The sequence below is a fragment of the Homo sapiens genome, chromosome 14, assembly GCF_000001405.40.
Source record: "Homo sapiens chromosome 14, GRCh38.p14 Primary Assembly".
NCBI lineage: Eukaryota > Metazoa > Chordata > Mammalia > Primates > Hominidae > Homo > Homo sapiens.
The window spans coordinates 93,526,669-93,544,379 of record NC_000014.9 but is presented as its reverse complement, the minus strand read 5'-3'; the positions used below and the strand labels follow the sequence as shown (position 1 = coordinate 93,544,379).

Here is a 17,711-nt window from a genome sequence, read left to right as displayed (position 1 = left end):
AGCTCCCATGGCATTAAAAAACCCAATGGAACCTTCCATACCTTCTCACTGAAGCCCTTAAGTAAACCTTTTGTTAAGTTTGATATATAAATCTTTTATTTCTGGCTATTCAGGAAGTAATTTATCCTTGAGATCTCCCACATGTACTCATAAATAAACTTTGTCTTCTCTCCAGTTAAACTGTTATCAGTTAATTTGCAGGCCCCAAAACATCTGCACCTAAGTTGGAATAAGAAAAGTTTTTCTCCCAACATAATCATTTCTTCTCATTTTCCAGAAGCATGTCACATCAATCCTTCACTATTCCAATAGACATAATAATAGAAAATATATCAACACAGGCAAAGAATGTCAGAAAATGGGAAATTTCCTTTAGGCAAAAATTCAATTTTCTAAGTGAGTCAGTAGGTGGCACCAAAGAAGAAAGAAGTACATCTCCATAAATGCACAGATCACTCTGAGTCCTGAAAATCCAATAAAAGTTACCCCTATAGATGGTCTGTGCTGTTTTATCCTTAAATGTCCTACTTTAGCACAGGTTTCTACTGAAAACTGCCTCAAGATCTCTTTGAAAGGAAATAAAAAATCACAAATAAAAATAACACTTAGAAAACACTTGGAAAAAAAATTTCACATATTACTGCCAAAACCTGATTCTGGACATCCACCTTTCTGGGTTAGATGCAAATTACATCATATTCAAAAAATATGGGCTGCTCACAGCAGCTCATGCCTGTATAATCCCAGCACTTTGGGAGGCTGAGGCAGAAAGATCGCTGGAGGCCAAGAGTCTGAGACCAGCCTGAGCAACATAGAGAGACCCCATCTCTACCAAAAAAATTTTTTTAATTAGATGGATGTGGTGATGCATGCCTGTAGTCTCTGAGGTGGGAGGATCTCTTGAGCCCAGGAGTTCAAAGCTGCTGTGAGTATGACTACACCACTGCGGTCCATCCTGGGTGACAAAGTGAGACCCTGTCTCAAAAAAAAAAAAAAGGAAAAAAGAAACATGGGTTCTTCTCAGATGTGATCCACTGAGGCAGAAGCAAGAGGATCAGCACAGAGAAATCTGTTCTTAAGTGAGAGGAATAGGTGCATTTTGTCTGACCCTGAACCTTTTTGGCATTTCAAATGGCAGGGCAGGGACTTCTACCATTAACCTGTATATATATATATACATGATTAAAAAAAGAAAAAAAGACATTTCCCCTATTTGAATGGTAATCTTTCCAAAGATTCTAAGCCAAAAGGGGACTGAGCTCTAGTAACCTCATAGAAAGGCTTTTTTGTTGTTGTTTCTTAATAAAAATATTTAGCTTCCCGGCTACTCCAGAGGCTGAGGCAGGAGGATCACTTGAGCCCAGGAGTTCAAGGCGGCCAGCCTGGGCGACATAGCAAGATCCCATTTCAAAAAAAAAAAAAATCAGCAATGTCGAGAAAGAATGGTCCCTTAAATTCTTAAAGATACCTCACAAATGCATCTTGCCATTCTTCCTCATCCCAAATCAACATCAAAGCAGCACATCATCCAAGATACAGTTACTAAATTCATTTAGCTATATTAATTAAAATAAGGAGAGATGTTCCTCCTCTGCAGACACTGATAATACCCACATGGCTAAGGCAGCACTTCTCCCCAAGTCCTCCTCTCTAACAAGGTGTGAGCTGTAGGCCTCCACTTACCCTGGCAAATTCCATGGGTTTAGGAAGAAGGCACATGACCATGACATCGAAGCGAACATCACATACGGTCTTCAGCCATTTGGTGACAAACTGAGGCTTCAGCTTTTCCACCAGACTTCCCACTTCATCATCCATCATATACGCAGTGGAGTGAAACCACTGAAACACCATGGCCACCAGCCGGGCCAAGCTTTCTGTAGGCGTGTTCTCACTGGGTGTGCAGAGGCTCACCTAGAAGTAGGTAGATTAGAACCTTGTTCGGCTTCCATCCATCTTTACAAAATTATTATAGGTGCATTAAGAGGCAAAAAATAAAAATAAAAAGATATCCCAGATAATCTGTTTGAAATAGGCAGTTTTAAAAATGGGGATCGCTTATCCAGAAACTGTGTTCCTTTCTACAGGGATAGATGGATTGCAACAACAATTTTCCCTCAAGATTTCACCTTCCAATTAAGCATTTTCTCCTACAAGGAATCTATTATATAATCTGCACCAGATAAATGCTTCTAAAAAGTTAGGTCAACAAAATGATATTTCATCAATATCCTCAATGAAAATAATGTATATACATTTCAGTTCTAAAATGATCATATTTTGCTAAGAATTGTGTATTAGTAATAATTCAGATACCTTGGAGTCCCCCCAATTCACTATCATAAATAGACTTTTTTTTTTTTTTTTTTTTTTTTGAGATGGAGTCTCCCTCTGTTGCCCAGGCTGGAGTGCAGTGGCGCGATCTCGGCTCACTGCAAGCTCCGCCTCCCGGGTTCACGCCATTCTCCTGCCTCAGCCTCCCGAGTAGCTGGGACTACAGGCGCTTGCCACCACACCCAGCTAATATTTTGTATTTTTAGTCGAGACAGGGTTTCACTGTGTTAGCCAGGATGGTCTCGATCTCCCGACCTCGTGATCTGCCCGTCTTGGCCTCCCAAAGTGCTGGGATTACAGGCGTGAGCCACCGCTCCCGGCCCATAAATAGACTTTTTAAAACATCATTCATTCATTTACTATGAACTAATCTTCTATTGAGTACTATGGCAGGGTCCAGGAATAAAAAAAATAAATAAAACATTGTCCTTGCCTTCAAAGAGTTCACAGCAGTAGCCATTGTGTCATTAAATACTAACTTCTAGGAAGCAAGATATGTGAAATCAACAATTAAATGCCAATTTGGTAAAGACTCTTTCACGGAACTATATGCAAGCACAATAGAGATATATCACTATGGAGACTGAATTAATGTCTCCAATGAGCAAAACAAAAGCCTGCTTCTCTGCCGCATTGGTAAATTCAGCTTGCTTGGGACGTTAGATCTGTATGTTTGATCTCTACTGAATAGATGTTGAAATTAAATCAGTCAATAGCAATCATATTCCTTGCATTACTTTGGCTATAACGTCTCTGGTGTACATAGACATATCATAAACACACAAAAAGCTCCACAGAGACTGAACTTTCAAGAAAAATTTCATCTACATAGGTGATGGGATGTGAATTATCTGTATATGTTATTGAATCCAGTACTTGACAATATATACTAGCAACTTCCCGACTTGTACCAGTCTAGATCCTGATACTGTAGGTTTAACACCTGGCTCTTCATCAAAATCAATGGCCAAGAGCTTTTTAAAAAATTCCCAAGATTCTGGAATGCGATCTGGGCATTGTTAGTTTTTAAAAGCTTTCCTAGCTAAATCTAACATGCAGCTCAGGATTGACAGCTATTGCCATAGCTTCAGCCCCATTGCTAAGGTTAATTTTTCACTATTTACTCCTTTTAAAAGAACAGGAGAAATTCCTCTTCAGTACAATTTTGAAATGAGAAATAAGAAAGTGGAGAATAGTTAACTTCTTTTTCTTACTAAGAACCATATTCCGAATTGACTGAGCAGCCTCTGATCGTGTTTATCATCGTCCTTGTTATCAAAGTCAGCATTATCCAGGGAATGGTGGGAAGAGGAGAGGCCCAGCTGCCGCCGCCGGTTCAGCTCATGTTCTCGCTGCTCAGCATGGAACTCGGCTTCTTTCAACAAGCTGCCAAAGAGCAGTGTGATTTCAAGTTAGACTGTGAAAAAACACATTCTAGATCATGACCCATTCAGAGGAAGTACCTCACGAGTACTCAAGCATCCTGGATTGCTCTTCTTTAAATTGAGTACTGTGTTACTGAGTTACTGAGTACTGTGCATCCTGAGTTACTCCAGGATGCCTCATTCTATTTTCTTACTATTTTATACTCCATTCCCATTTCAAAGATGAACAAACTGAGGCACAAAGAGGCTAGTTCCTCCAATCAATTAGCATCAAGCAGAACTGATCCTTTCTGACTTCTGGTTCACCAACCATCCCACTATAAGTCAATGCTTCCTCTATATCTATCATGAAACTGTGCAGACAGCAAATGCATGATACAAGGAAAGGTTGAGGAGCTTGTGCCCAAATGGAAAAATATTCACCATCTGATATTCAAAGACACGAAAGTGAAACAGTGAAAATTCTTTTTTCCGTTTGCTAAACAAGTTCCAATTTTAAAAAGCAACACTCAGTATTGGTAAGTTTTATACATGGTGTTGGCATTGTAAATCTATACACATGCTTTGAAAAGCAACTTGGTAATGTATTAAGAGCCATGTAAATATTCATACCCTTTGAACCAAGGTATTTGATATCTGGTCATCTACCCTAAGAAAATAAAAAATATAGGTACAGCACTATGTACAAAAATATTTCTCAAAGCGTTACTTATAAAAGTAAAAAACTGGAAGCAGTCTAAATATGTAACGATAGAGAAAAGTAAGTTATAGCTAGATTAATATTATATCCACTACAAATGATAAATATGGAAACCATGCAACGACGTGGAGAAGAGCTAATAGTGTAATGTTATTTCAAAAAGAATTGTGGATACACTGATTACAGTTATAGAAATGAAACATACATTTAAATAAAATTAGAACATAAGCAACACTGATGATGATGGTGATAACATCATCATCAGTATGGCTGAGTGTTTTTATTTCTTTTCAAACTTTCCATAATATTCGATTTGACAAACATTAATTGTATTTCTACTACGTGTCAGCCACTGGGATAAGAGAAACAGAAAAGACTTGGCCTCTATCCTTTAACACTTAGATTCTAATATTATTATTATTTTTTTAATTTATTTTTTTGAGACGGAGTCTTGCTCTGTCTCCCAGGCTGGAGTGCAGTGGCGCAATCTCAGCTCACTGCAACCTCCGCCTCCCAGGTTCAAGCGATTATCCTGCCTCAGCCTCCTGAGTAGCTGGGATTACAGGCAGGCGCCAACACGCCCAGCTAATTTTTGTATTTTTAATAGAGACGGGGTTTCACCATGTTGGTCAGGCTGGTCTCGAAATCCTGACCCCGTGATCCACCCGCCTCGGTCTCTCAAAGTGCTGGGATTACAGGCGCGAGCCACTGCGCCCGGCCATATTATTTATTTAATTAAAAAAAAAAATCTTGCCTGGAGCCAGGCACGGTGGCTCACGCCTGTAATCCCAGCACTTTGGGAGGCCCAGGCGGGTGGATCATCTGAGGTCAGGAGTTCAAGACCAGCCTGGCCAGCATGGTGAAACCCCGTCTCTACTAAAAATACAAAAATTAGCCGGGCGTGGGGGTGCGCACCTGTAATCCCAGCTACTCAGGAGGCTGAGGCAGGAGAATCGCTTGAACCCAGGAGGCGTAGGTTGCAGTGAGCCGAGATTGTACCACTGCACTCCAGCCTGGGCGACAGAGCAAGACTCTGTCTCAAAACAAAACAAAATAAAACAAAAACAAGCAAACAAAAAATCTTGCCTCTATGAGTATCAGACAAAAAGAGAGGAAGGGTAGAAGTTATTTCAATTGCTTTTTTTTTTTTTTTTTTGGTCATGTGATAGAAGAAGAAAAACCCAGTAGCCTGCAGGACCTGTCCCTGCTGTCCCTGTCTGACTACACAGGGTCGTGGTTTATCCCAGCATGGAATTACTTGGAGTTGTCCCGCACCTGTTTCCTATGCAGGTAATTCGCCCTTGTTGCCTTCCCCGCCTCCTGACTGGTTAATGCTGCTGTCAGTCAAGCCAGGCCTATTCACACGCTTCACTCTGATTGGCCCCTTCACCTAGTTCCCCTAACGCCCTTTCCTCAATGCTATTACTGAGCTCACCAAACCGTACCACAATGACGTGCTTATGTTTTTCTAGTCCCTACATGGGTAACTTAAGGGCAGAGACTATATTTTATTCCCTCCTGCCTCCCATGTGCCCAGCATAGTGCGTGGCACATAACTGGCATCCGTAAAAATATTCATTGAATTCATGAATTAAAATAGCATCATTACAACACTGTGGGAAGGTGAGCATCTGGGCTAAGGGCATTTGAGGTTGCATTAAATATGCACATCTCAGTGTGCGGAGCTTAGCTCAAAGCAAGGTGGAGTTGTCAGAGGCAGCTACTAAGAAACTGCGTGTTACCTGATCACGGCTTCCACGGCGCAGACCAGCTCCTCAGCGCCGCATTCCCGCGTGTTGATGGGCGGAGGAGAGGTCTGATAGAGGTGAGTCTCCGCAGCGGCCCCCACTTCATTACTGTGATGATTTGAGTGGCACCTCTTGCAGTACCGAACAGGCCTGTTTCCGTGACGACCACAGCACCCTGCTGAGAAGCAGGTGACAACTGCTCTTCTAACGTGGGAACTGCAGTTCTAGAAGCCAAGAAAGTGAAATCAATTAAAATTGACCACCGAGGTAAACTTGGCTAAGAATCAGAATAAATGAAAACTTAAGGGGCCACTCGAAGTGACAACACATTCAAGGGCCACTAGTTTCCAAAGCGCAGGTTATTCTCCCACTACCTAGATTTCAGTCATAGTTAAAAAATAAAGGCGAGGAGTGTTTTCTATTCCTGTGAGTAGTAGAAATGCTCTAAATATCAGTGGCATTGTGTTGGGAAGCCCTGTGTAAAGTTACCTCAGCCATGGGGGGAGCGAGGAGGAGGACACTTTCTGGATTATTTCAAGTTAACATTCCAAGAGTTTTTCAGCAGAAATATAAAGAAAAAAACAGAACCATGGATCAGAGAGTGCAACATCACAGCACATCAGGGAAGAAAAGAAATGATGTTAACTCCCGGAATAAACTCTTTCAAAATTATTTTATCCACCTGAAAGAGTAGATTTCCGCTACAGCTCCTCTGTCCTTGTCGCATTCAAGGACAGGTAGATGCTGCATTCAAAGACAGAGACTGTGCTGTGCCAAAGTGATGGCCTCAAGCCAGGCCTTCCCATGCCCACCGGCACTCTGTGAAGACCACAGGGACATACACAGCCAGAACCCTTCGTAGAGTCAGCATTGACATCAACCGCAGGAAGGGAACCGCAAATGAAGTGATGGGAACGAGAAAAGTGGTGGAGCGTAAGACATTTCCAAGTTCAGGGGTGGTACTGTTCAAGCTGCCCTGGCGGGAGGCAGAGGAGTGAGGCAGCACCCACATGAAGCTATTGGAGACGTGCCCCAAGCCTATGAGAGATGCGACCACCACATAGTCAATGTCTCTTTCAATAGTGCTTGTGAAGATGTGAACACCCCCAAGGGGGCGTTAGACTCTAAGGCTTTATGAACTCAGAGCTTGTGAGAGGAGGGAGATAAAATAATGAATTAATCTGTCTTCACCTAGAATTTAAAGGGAAAATATTGAGCTCAGGACAGTCCTTCCAGCCAGCATAGGATTCTCAAGGTAAGAAAAAGTTTCAAGGCAAACATCAAATCCAGGGCCCTATCAGGAAAATGTGGTCTCAGTAGGAAAAAAATGATAGCAAGGGCTCGAATATAAAACCCTTTGTTAAGAACTCAGAATTTAATATGGTACACCATTGACTCTTTTAGATAGACAAAAAAAAAAAAAAAAAAAAGCCGGGGGTGGGTGGGGGGTGCCTTCTAAGGATCTTAAGGGCATACCTCAGCATCCACTTCATTCAACAATAAGGGTTCTAAGAATCGTAAGTCATCATTCCCAGGAGCCTCATAGAGAGCATAAGGTGTAGAAGGACTTATCCCAAAGAGGTTTGTGCATTTGACTCACGTTTAATGAAGCAGGTTTATAAATTGAGACATAAGAGCCCATGTTTTTAATGGAATTATACCATTGTAGATTGAAAGGGACAGAGACAGCCCAAAAAAGAAGATGTTTTGGGATTTCCAAACTTCTATAAGCAAAAAATAGGCTGATAAAACTACTTAGCTGTAAATGACAGGCTACTTTTTATGAGAAGGAAAAGATGGGCATCTCCCAGAGGGTGGGGCCTAGAGCCAAAGAGACCAGCTCCCAGGAAGCAGGACTCGCACCTAACTAAGGAACAAGTGACATGTGCCCTGTGACTTTCAGAATTTCTAAGGACTCCAGATACTCCATAAGAAATTACTCAAAATTTAGCGGCATAAAACAGCAACATTTAATTATGTTCATAGGCTCTGTGGATCAGAGATTCGGACATGACTACCTTCCTCTCATTTCCTCACTTTTTACATGAGTCTCTACTGCAGTAATCCTACCCCTGTATCACTATTGCATGTTAGCTGTGCAGGATGCAGATAACATTTCTTTCATTCACAAGTATTCAAAGCAAAAGGAAGAATACTTAAGGAGCCAAGCCCAAAAAGCCTCATCTACACCTGAACTTGATTTTGATGAGAAGATCTTGGACCTCCAGTCAGGATTTTGCAAGTGGAAAGAATGTAAATAATCTGTGACCAGAGGCGGGTTCTCCACACTCCTCCCATCAAGAAGTCAAGGATAGTTTCCCTCCCCTTGAATCTGGATGGGCTTGCAACTGCTTCAACCAATATAGCATGACAGAAATGATGCTTATAAAAGGACACGCAGCTTCCACTTGCTGCCTTGAGATGTTCTCTCTTCAGAAACTTCCTCATTAGATACTCCTCCCAGATCTCTGCCAGGATGCCATGAGACAGCCAAGCCACAGGGAGAGACCATGTTTCAGTCTTGAGTCAATGGCGCTGGCTTAGCCTAGTCTTCAAGTCACCCCATCCCAGAGCCCAAACGTATGATCTAGAAACCTCTAGATAATTAAAACCCTCAGCATTCAAGTCTTCCCAGATGAAGCCCCAAACATCATCAAACAGAGACAAGCTATCTCCATCATGCCCTGTCCGAATCTCTGATCCACAGAGTCTATGAACATAACTAAATGTTGCTGTTTTACGATGTAAATTTTGAGCAATTTCTTATGGAGTATCTGGATACACTGCATATGATAATATCTGGAATACCGACTAAAAGTCAACCTGCTTTATTACCACATGCCATCAATTCTAAACAATGTCAGCAATAAAATACATTTCCCCAAAAATAATCTTCAGTTGATCGAAGTTCTAAATAATTGCTAGGATTCCTACTAAGTTTTGATAATATATTTGAAAGGCCTCAACCCATGTGGATTCAGCTCATTCATTTCCAAACTAAACTAGAGAGGCTTCCCTTAGATGGAGATTCAGCTGGACATGTTTTCAAATGTTCACTCCAACCACTTTGCTTCACTGCTTTGAATTTTAAACACATAGAAATAACTCCAAGTGGTCTCACAAAATCACAGAATTGAAATAATCAAGGTCTGTCTCTTCATCTTTCCAATCACGATGCTATCATTGCTTATTTCAAATATACCATTCAGGGAATATGCAGTACAAAGAGGTAGAATACAAACTACCCAGGGCAAGCTCATACAATTCTGAACTGTTATGAACTTAATGGAAATTCTCCAAATTAATGTCTGTGTAAAACACAATGTTTATTAAAGGATAAGCAATAAAAATGTGCTAATTTGAAGCTTGTTACTAAAAATAAGTTTGTCATATAAAGAGGGAAGTGTTAAAAAATGATCTACCCTGGGTGTCAAATATGTTACGTATGTCCCCAGAGCCAAAACATGCTGATTTAGAAAATAGAACTGTTTGAAATCCTGGTCCCACAAGCTTAGAAACGATTCTCAAAGTAAGAATGGCCTCAGGATAAAGATCAAAGGAAGAATATGGTCTATGACTCTAAGATCCTTTGTTAAGGCTTCAGAAAGTTATAAGGCGATGTCTAATTGAGGCTCTCAGCTATAACAGGGCTTCTAATAATTTTAAGGGCACACTGAAACGCCCAAAATATAGGAAGGACTGCCTCAAAAATCATTATAGATGTGGCTTTGGGGGCTCAGGACCCCAATGAGATTCACTAAAAATCCACAAAGTTTTTAAGAAAGTCATACTAGCAAAAGCACCACCAGCTAAAACTAAAGAGACGCAGTTCTAAATGAAAAGAGATATATGGGACCCTAACTCCTACATGCACGAAGCAGATTGAGAAAGTTACTCAGCTGCAACATGGACCATTTCTTATTGAAAAGAAAAGATGTCTCAGAGAGTGGAGCCAAGAGCTCAGGAGGACAAGAACAGATTAGGGAACTATTTCTAGGAAACAAAACCAGATCATAATCAAGGCATGTATGCTATTCCTGGAGACAGAGGAACTGTTGATGTGTTTATGGCTGGAGCTGCTATAGACCAATGACTGCTATCTGCTTTCCCTTCCTCTTTTTGAACAGAAGCTTATTGCTATGATCCTGTCCCTGTCTCAACATTGTGTCTTGGGTGCAGAGAGGGAAGATAACTTTCCTTCTTAGTTCACAGGACTCTGAATCAAGAGAATCAGTTACCAAGAAGTTTAATCAGTGACATATCACATGCAGATCACAAGATACTAGACTTTAAGCCTGAAGCCATAAATGAATAAGACTTGTGGAGGTCATATAAAATGGTGAGCATATTTTGCATATGGAAAGAAGGTAAATAATTATGTCCAAAGGACAGATTGTGGTAGATTAAATGTGACCATAAAATTCTTGCCAATCCTTCAATAACCACAAAGATCCTATTTCTCCACTCTTTGAATCTGGGCCGGCCTTGGAACTTGCTTTGACCTGTTGAATGCTACAGAAATGATGCTGTGTGACTTCTGAGAGGCCTTGAGTGAGTGAGGCTCTCTCACTCTCTCAGAAGACTGCCACCTGTGAACAAGTCCAGCCTAGCCCCTGGACGATGAGACATCATGTGGAAAGAGAGGCCCAGACACCCCACCCATCTCACCATTCCAGCCATCCCAGCTTAGCCCCAGATATGGGAGTGAGACCATCTGGGGCCAGCCAATTCCAGCTTACCCACCAACTGACTGCAAATACATGAGTGAGCCTAGAGTAATTTATCAAAAGAACTGCTTAGCTGAGCTGAGCATAGGACAAATTGCCAATCCACAGAATTGTGATTAAATAATTGGTTGCCATATGAGACACTATGTTTTCAGATGGTTTGTTATGCATCCATAGATAACTGAGACAGCCCTCCAATATACCTACTCACAATCAACATCCCAAAAAGTTTAAATGATGTGTGCAAGGTCCACATAGGTAGGAGGGAACAGAACTGGCCAGAGTCCAAGAATCTCAACCAACTAGTCAAAAATTCTTTTTTATGACATCATACTGCCTCCTCTTACTCTTTTCAATTATTAAAACAAGAAGAGAAGATGGAGGTGGTTTAGAGAAACTATTATTAAAAAAAAACTAAAGGAAATATTAAAGGAAGAATCTTTAGCTACATGTATTGTTCAACTTACACATAAATACTTTCCATATACAGTCAGTCTGGGTATGTTTTTCACACATACAAATTGGACTATTTGCACTCCACTTCAAAACAATTGAGATTTCTAGCATACAAGATATATCCTTAACTAAAGTTAAGTACCATAAATTGCAGTATAATTCAAACCTTTTTCTAATTGGACTCCTATCCCAGAATTACACATAGGCTTTTATTGCAAATTACTGAACAAAAGCATTGTGCATAAGATGGGTGAGCAAAAGCAGAAATGGAAATAGAGACCATTTGGATGTAGCAATCTTGCATGCTAAATTATTTCCTTTACCCCTCCACAAATACAATGGCATGCATATACTGGAAACCACGGTGCAGAAATGAGGCAGATGTCAATAAATGAATTTACATACAAACACAATAAATCATGCCCCAACGACACAAATGGTTTGCTCTTACCTTTTTCTGACATATAGCAGATATTTCAGCTGTAAGGGGAAGGCACACAAAATATCAACAAAGAAAGAGAGCCCCTCTAATTTTTATTTAATTAATTAATTTATTTTTTGAGACAGTGGCTCACTCTGTCAATCAGGCTGGAGTGCAATGGCACCATCATAGCCCACCACAGCCTCTTGAACGCCTTGGCTCAAGTGATCCTCCTGACTCGCCTTCTAAGCAGCTAGGCAGTGGTGTGGGCTTCCATGCCCAGCTAATTTTTTTTTTTTTTTTTTGTAGACATGGGGTCTTACTATGTTTCTCAGGCTGTTCTTCAACTCCTGGCCACAAGCAACCCTCCTGCCTTGACCTCCCTCCAAAAGGCTAGGATTACAGGTGTAAGCCACCATGCCAGGTCTAGAGCCCATTTAAAATAAGGGCAGCCATGAAGGGGGAATCTTTTAAATCTTAGTAATATGACCTCTGGACTTGGCCCAAACAGATTTTCACTTGGCTCATAAATTATCGTCTACTTTTATTGGCTTCTAGTTTCCTCAGAAATCATGAAATAGATCTCTTTTCATCTAGTAGTGTATGTTTAGTGAGGTTAAAAACACCTGCACACTGCTACTTTTACAAATAATTTAATCTTTTCAGACATGACTTAGAAATCAAATCTTGTTAAAGCCAAACAAATTTAATCTTATTTCCCCATTTTACAGAGGACAAAACTGAGAACCACTGTGGTTAGGTAAATTCTTCAAGGTCACACAAGCTATCAATGGTAGGGGCAGACCTTGAGTTCAAGTCTCCAAATTCCCCATTTACTGTTCTTCCCATTATACTATGACACTGGGTTAATGTGATATATTTACAGCATCACCATCGGATTATTTGCAATATCAAAACTGTAGACAAAATTACTAACTTGGACTACCTAGATTTAAATTATCAATTTATATCACTCTTAACGTGTGTGTGTAAAACCAGCTGTAGGGTTATTTAAGAGAAAGCAATTTTCAAACCCACGGGTAGACCAGTTGGAGCAAGACTGTCAAATTACTGTCTACATAATGAATGCATAAGAATTCTTTTCAGTGGGCACATCAATTATTTCCATGAAAACTGATGCTGGAGAGCATTTGAAAATAAATTTTCCAAGAATTGGCTAATATGTACTCTGAAATAGTATGTACTCAAAAAATGAACTAACACCTTATTTATAGTCTATGTTACAATTTATTTAAAAGATCAAAGGTAAATGTCTCCCAAACCCTGTCTGGTAATCTTAAACTAGTGGATGAAAAAGCAACAAAATTTACAACTCATGTTTAAAAACTGGTTTTGTATAATTAATGGTTACTTGACAGTTTGATATCCTAGAGTTTATCTTAAATCATCTGAGGTTAGTGTCACATGTCTGTATAAGTAATGAAAAGTTATTGCCAATATTCCTCTAAAGATGAATATCACTGGAGATGACAACCAGAACTCAGCAACATATTTAAAAAGGATTTTATAACTTATATTTTATAACTTGACTATGGCTTTTACCTCAGAGCACTGGATGATCACTAATTAAGTAGCATAATTTAAAGGAAAAAAAGTTAAATTTACCCATATGAGCCCAAATCTTTTTACAGGTTTTTTGTTGTTGTTGTTTTGGGGTTTGTTTGTTTTGTTTTTTTTCTGAGACGGAGTCTCGCTCTGTTGCCCAGGCTGGAGTGCAGTGGGGCGATCTCGGCTCACTGCCAGCTCCGCCTCAAAGGTTCACGCCATTCTCCTGCCTCAGCCTCCCGAGTAGCTGGGACTACAGGTGCCCGCCGCCACGCCCGGCTAATTTTTTGTATTTTTAGTAGTGACGGGGTTTCACCATGTTAGCCAGGATGGTCTTGATTTCCTGACCTTGTGATCCGCCCACCTCGGCCTCCCAAAGTGCTGGGATTACAGGCGTGAGCCACCGCGCCCGGCCTGTTTTTGTTTTTTTTAAGACAAGGTCTTTCTCTGTCGCCTAGGCTGGAGTGCAGTGGCATGATCACGGCTCACTGCAGCCTCAACCTCCTGGGCTTAAATGATCCTCCCACATCAGACTCTCAAGTAGCTGGGACTACAGGCACGTGCCACCATGCCTGGCTAAATTGTTTTTTCTCTCCTGCCCTCCTAAATTTTTTGTTTGTTTGTTTGTATTTTTAGTAGAGACAGAGTTTCACCACGTTGCCCAGGTTGGTCTCAAACTCCTAGGCTCAAGCCATCAGCCCGCCTCCACTTCCCAAAGTACTGGAATTACAGGCATGAGCCATTGCACCTGACCTACAGATATTTTTATGTAAATTTTCAAAATGTGCCTTTGAAGGATATAGAGGCTGATATTATTGCTCCATTTTACAAGTGATTCTCCTGCCTCAGCCTCCTGAGTAGCTGGGATTACAGGCAGGTGCCACCATGCCTGGCTAATTTTTTATACGGGGTTTCACCATGTTAGCTAGGATGGGAATCCATTTATTTTCTACATCTGAAGTCATATACCATCGAGTTCTTCCTGTGCCCCGATCTCTACTCAAACTTAGTATGCCTGCAGCTCTTTCCACCTTTCATTTTTCCTCTGTGTTTGTCAGTACTTTTCCTTGTCATTTTAGCCTCCAATGACATGGCTGGAATAGCTGCCTCTCCCATATGTGGAGAAATGCTCTGTCTGGGACCTACCAACTTATAGGGCATAGCTTTGACAACTCTGACAAACTACAAGAAGCATTGCAATCTTGTCTTTCCATTGAGATGGGTTAGATATACTTTATCCCCATTTTACTGATGAGGAAACTGAGCCTCAGAGACATTCAATGATTTCCCCCCCACAACATGGTACTAGTAATAGTAGCAGGGGAAAGGCCAATTATTCATTTCTCTCCCAGCTAGTGTTCCTTATTCTTTTTCTTCTCCTTAGTAAGACCTGGTGCAGCAACTTATCACTGACAACACCTGTTACAGATACAGAAAATCCCTGAAGACATAATTTGGCAGGGCTTTAGTCGTATGGAATCCTAATTCCAATATCTACCCTTAATTTTGGTAGGGATGATACTACTTCCCGCATTATTAAATGTGTGGGTACATTATAAGCAAGGCATTGATATTATGCTTCATATCAATGAATATTCATACAATACAATACTTTGGTGACTGTCTTTGTAAAATAAAATAGTACAAAAGGAGATAAAGCAACTATGTCATTAGTCATGATTACTCATTATTCATCCTTTCCTAAGTAAACCATACCTTGTGGCAGAAGAACATCAATCAGCCACTCACTGTGGTCCCTATTGAAAAAAACAAAATTCATTTTTGAGCTTCATTGAAATGTTCTCCTTCCACATGAATGTTTATAAGCTGCACACTAGTGCTGAAAGGCTTTTAATAGAAAGGAAGTATAATTAAGAGCACTATCATAATAAACTCTTAAAATGTCTAATGCATTCCAGCTAAATTATAAATTATAGGCACTTCATCATATTCAGTTATCTTTAAATGATACTTTCCAGATGCTAATTAAGCCAACCAAAATACTGCATGATCTGTACAAAGCTGAGTGTGATTCTGTGAAACAAACAAGCAAAAAGAACCCATATAATTTGTATGTCATGTTTGGAAACCACAGTTTTCTTTTACATCTGTTTTTCTCTGTGGCCTTTTTAACAGGGTTACTCCAAAATTGGAGCTGATTTATTAAATGGAATTGCCTTCTTCTCATGTCACATAAAGAGAAATATTGCAACTTTTCAAAGCTGTAATGTTCCCAGTGAAAGTTTGCTATATGTTAAGTATCAGAATAATTAACCTTTAAAAATCAGAGAGGCTAGAGAGAAACTTTAGCAATGTAACTAATTTAAGTCCAAATGATTTTTCTTATCTTCTTATTGTTGTCCTATTTCCTTTTCTTTAAGAACTCTTATACCTACCCTGCAATCCTCTCGCTGCATTCTTCACAGAGATACAACGGGGGTGGTTTATCACCCAACGCTACTGACAGGGAAGGGTCTATACACATCTGAAACATATGAAAAGACAGAATGAACTCTCCTGTTCCTGGGTATCACATTCCCTATATTCTAAGCACAAATGCTTCAATAATGACAGATTTTCCACAAGCGAGGTGGAATAAACATTTTTAGTAAAACCCTTTTTACCGATAAATGTTTCTCCCTGGACTAGCTGATGAGTCCACCCTGAGGATTTAAATGTGGCTGCCGTGGTTTTTCATTTCTCCTGTTAACTTGCAATTCAAGTAATAAATAGTGTCAAGAAATTCACTCTCATTCCACAAAGATCCAAAATATCATCTTGTTCAATTGCTGCTCAAATTGGCGATATATTACTCACACTAATTCCTTCTTTAAAGTGGTAAACAACAGTAGTTTCTCATTAGGAAAAGGAAAATATATTATTAAGATTTCAGAATCATAACTGATACCAAAGTGCTAGTGGTAGAGAACTTTGCTTCTTAAGGCATACCTTATTCAAAAAAGTTGGCATTAAATCTAACATTGAGTGGTTCACTTCTCTTACTCTGGAATCTTAGTTCTGTATCAATCATCCAACCTTTCTTTTTCATGTGTTTTTTTTTTTTTTCCTACACATGACCTATAATTTGTTTGCCCTTGCTGGAACTGGTTGATACAGCTGGGTTTCACGAGCCTAAGCACAGAGATGCAAAGTGTTAATTTCACAGTTGATCATCAGAATATTTCAATATCTGGATCTTTTAAATCAAATGAACAAAAAATCTAGATAACTAACTGCATTTTGTACTTTGCATAAATTTAAATTTCTATAATTTACAAAAGCCATTTTGAATTCTGTTTCTACCCTCGAAAAAATAATCAATTCATGTGCTAGCTGAGTAAGCAGTTAAGATGCCTAATACACAAATTTTTCTGGAACTACACTCTTTTTAGTTGTTCTCACAAATTTGAAGGGGGGAAATCACCTAAACTTATAACCCAAACAGCCTGTAATTCAAAGTGAAAACAGACACTTCAATGATTGAGGAAGCTAGTTAGAATTGCTCAATTTACCGTCAACATTTGTAAACTATATATTCCCCGATGACAAAGGCTCAGAGTGAAAATTTTCCTCATGTAAGTTTCATGCTTCCTTAGACGTAATGAGTAACTGCTTTGCGGTGTGTTAAATCAGAGATTGGCAAACTTTTTTTGTAAATATTTTAGGCTTTGTGGGCCACAGTCTCTGTCACAACTACTCAATTCTGCTGTTGGAGCATGAAAGCAGCCATAGACAATAAATATGTAAGAAAATTAACATAGCTGTGTTCTAATAAAACCTTATTTCCAAAAACTGGCAGCAGGCCAGATTTGGCTCTGGGCCATAGTTTGCCAGAACCTGCCTTAGATAATTATCTGGGCTTCAAAGTATTTCATAAAGTGGACTTCAAGTAGAACCAGGTAAAATCAAAAGCAGAGTATGATATCGTAAACTTTAAGTTCCAACATATTTTCACATTTAATCCTATTACAACTCTTGGCTTTTGCCTAAAAAGTACTTTTTTGCAGCCTATTAAAACAAAAATGGATAATATTTTTCTATTTGGTATACCATTCTTGCTTAGCAGTACAGCTCACTATCACAGAGATATTAGGCTTTTGGTGAGGATTAATCAATTTTCCCCAAATCTTTCCCATGCCCCCCATGTGGAGCTCCTCTTACATATTATATGTTATTCTACCCTCTTTTTTAGTGAGTCATTGATACCTCTCTCACGTAAAGATACTTTTTCACACTACTCAAAAGGAGAAGCTCCTAGGATGCTAAAACTATAAATAATCATTAGAGATTAGCTAGTCAACCTCTGACTTTTTAAATAACTTACTTAGCATGACCTATCAGATCTGTAGTTGGTCTAGTGAGTTTTGTTCTAGT

General features: G+C 39.7%; 1 protein-coding gene across 32 annotated transcripts in view; it reads right to left on the bottom strand.

Annotated features, from left to right (window-relative positions):
• Positions 1-17,711, bottom strand: part of UNC79 (unc-79 subunit of NALCN channel complex) — a 374,695-nt gene that overhangs the window by 163,497 nt on the left and 193,487 nt on the right. For 27 of the 32 annotated variants that reach the window (XM_011537027.3, NM_020818.5, XM_011537026.3 and 24 more), the window contains 6 exons: positions 15,734-15,822; positions 15,054-15,094; positions 11,802-11,830; positions 6,162-6,391; positions 3,549-3,720; positions 1,684-1,914 (listed from right to left, as the gene is read on the bottom strand). In XM_011537027.3, the coding sequence (XP_011535329.1) occupies positions 1,684-1,914; positions 3,549-3,720; positions 6,162-6,391; positions 11,802-11,830; positions 15,054-15,094; positions 15,734-15,822 (792 nt within the window). The other 5 variants (XM_047431627.1, XM_017021509.2, XM_047431626.1 and 2 more) reach the window with 3 other exon arrangements.